Source organism: Homo sapiens, chromosome 1, assembly GCF_000001405.40.
Source record: "Homo sapiens chromosome 1, GRCh38.p14 Primary Assembly".
In the NCBI taxonomy this organism is placed as follows: Eukaryota; Metazoa; Chordata; class Mammalia; order Primates; family Hominidae; genus Homo; species Homo sapiens.
The window spans coordinates 28806812-28809372 of record NC_000001.11 but is presented as its reverse complement, the minus strand read 5'-3'; the positions used below and the strand labels follow the sequence as shown (position 1 = coordinate 28809372).

General features: G+C 48.4%; 1 annotated feature.

Annotated features, from left to right (window-relative positions):
• Positions 1818-2325: an enhancer, noted in NCBI's record as "NANOG hESC enhancer chr1:29133560-29134067 (GRCh37/hg19 assembly coordinates)". NCBI's record gives its function as "activates a minimal SCP1, AML or CMV promoter by ChIP-STARR-seq in naive H9 embryonic stem cells {active_cell/tissue: H9 hESC(naive)}" and the evidence as "EXISTENCE:reporter gene assay evidence [ECO:0000049][PMID:30033119]".

Below are 2561 nucleotides of genomic sequence, written 5' to 3'. Positions count from 1 at the left end.
TGGGCGCCTGTAATCCCAGCTACTTGGGAGGCTGAGGCAGGAGAATCGTTTGAATCTGGGAGGCAGAGGTTGCAGTGAGCTGAGATGGCACCATTGCACTCCAGCCTGGGTGAAAAGAGCAGAAGTCCATCTCAAAAAAAAAAAAGAAGTTGCAAAAGATATGTAAATGACCAAGTACATGAGTGAAATAATTGCTAAGAAAACATACATGTTGGCTGGGCTCCGTGGCTCACATCTGTAATCCCAGCACTTTGGGAGGCCGAGGAGGGCAAATCACCTGAGGTCAGGAGTTCAAGGCCAGCCTGGCTAACACAGCAAAACCCCGTTTCTACTAAAAATACAAAAAATTAGCCAGGCTTGGTGGCACACACCTGTAATCCTAGCTACTCAGGAAGCTGAGGCAGAAGAAATGCTTGAATCTGGGAGGCAGAGGTTGCAGTGAGCCGAGATTGTGCCTTTGCACTCTATCCTGGGCAACAGAGCGAGACTGTCTCAAAAAAAAAAAAAAAAAAAAGAAAAGAAAAGAAAAGAAAACATACATGCCTAGTGCAAGTGAATTTCCCCATTCTGGACATTGGAGGAACAAATGAAAATTCAAAGGCTTCTAGAGGGTTTTCCACAATGACCTTCTAAAATGAAAACTTGGAAATGATCAATTTATTTTATTTTTATTTTTTTGAGGTGGGGGACGGAGTCTTGTTCTGTTGCCAGGCTGGAGTGCAGTGGCACGATCTCAGCTCACTGCAACCTCTGCCTCCAGGGTTCAAGCAATTCTCCTGCCTCAGCCTCCAGAGTAGCTGGGACTACAGGTGCGCAACACCACACCTGGCTAATTTTTGTATTTTTAGTAGAGACGGGGTTTCACCACATTGGCCAAGATGGTCTCCATCTCTTGACCTCCTGATCTGCCCGCCTCGGCCTCCCAAAGTGCTGGGATTTCAGATGTGAGCCACCGCACCTGGCTTTTTTTTTTTTTTTTTTTTTTTTTGTAGAGATGGTGTCTCACTATGTCGCCCAGGCTGGTCTCGAACTCCTGGGCTCGAATTCCTGGGCTCAAGCCTCCCAAAGTGCTGGAATTATAGGCATGAGCCACTGCACCTGGACTTCTAGTCTACTTATCTTTAAAAGGCAGTCTCATTTCTGTGGTCACAAATTCATATAACAACGCTGTTGGCTTCCATTTATGGAGAGCATGTTCTATGGCAGGCACTGGGCCAAATGCTATGTGGATTATCTCATTTAATCCCCAAGCAGTCCTATAAGCATATAGAGTTATTATTATTCCATTTTGCAGAGGTTAGGTTACCTACCCAAGCCAGAACTGAGATGCCAAGCCAGATCTGTGTGACTCCAAACCCCAGTCTCCTGACTACTAGACTATGATGCCTCCCAGAACAAAGACTAGAAAGTCACCCAGAAAAACATACTCCGTCTGCCTCTGTTCAGCAGAGTTTCCCCACCACCCCGGTGTAGGGCAATGACTCACTTGGAGCTTGGGAGATTCTTTATTATTATTATTATTATTATTATTATTATTATTATTATTATTATTGAGATGGAGTCTTGCTCTTGTTGCCCATGCTGGAGTGCAATGGCACAATCTCGGCTCACTGCAACCTCCGCCTCCCGGGTTCAAGCGATTCTCCTGCCTCAGCCTCCCGAGTAGCTGGGATCACAGGCATGTGCCACCACACCTGGCTAATTTTGTATTTTTAGTAGGGATGGGGTTTCTTCATGTGGTCAGGCTGGTCTCGAACTCCTGACCTCAGGTGATCCGCCCGCCTTGGCCTCCCAAAGTGCTGGGATTACAGGTGTGAGCCACTGTGCCCGGCCACTTGGGAGATTCTTGAGTTCATCCCCACTGTTGGGGGGAACCAGGGTAGACACAGTCCTTCACACCTGGGTCACAGAGGAGTTTGAGCTGTATTTGGAGCTTGTTCATATCCTGACCTCAAGGTGGGAGAAATGAAGAGAAAAATGGATGGGAAATCCTGGGCTAACCCAGGGCATCAGAAGGCGTCAGCAGGAGAGAAACAGAAATCACTGAAGGAGTCAGAGCAGAAAGGAACTCCCTGGGGAAGCTATTAACAATTTAGTATGTGGGAATGTGGCTCCCACCTGCCAAAGAGACAGAGCTGCCTGATGGAAGATACAGCGGCTGCCTCCCAGTGAGCAGGCAGCTCCCCTGGGTTGCCTCTCAGTCTGGCTCCATCAGCAAGCTCCAGGAGGGGGAGGATAGTAAAAATAACTATAAAATAATGCAAAGGACTTTTGACTTTCCAAAGTACTTCCAGGCCGGGAGCAGTGGCTCACGCCTGTCATCCCAGCACTTTGGGAGGCCGAGGCGCATGGATCACTTGAGGTCAAGAGTTCAAGACCAGCCTGGTCAACATGGTGAAACCCCATCTCTACTAAAAATACAAAACTTAGCCAGGTTTGGTGGTGGGCGCCTGTAATCCCAGCTACTCAGGAGGCTGAGGCAGGAGAATCACTAGAACCTGGGAGGCGGAGGTTGCAGCAAGCCGAGATCGCGCCATTGCACTCCAGCCTGGGCGACAGAG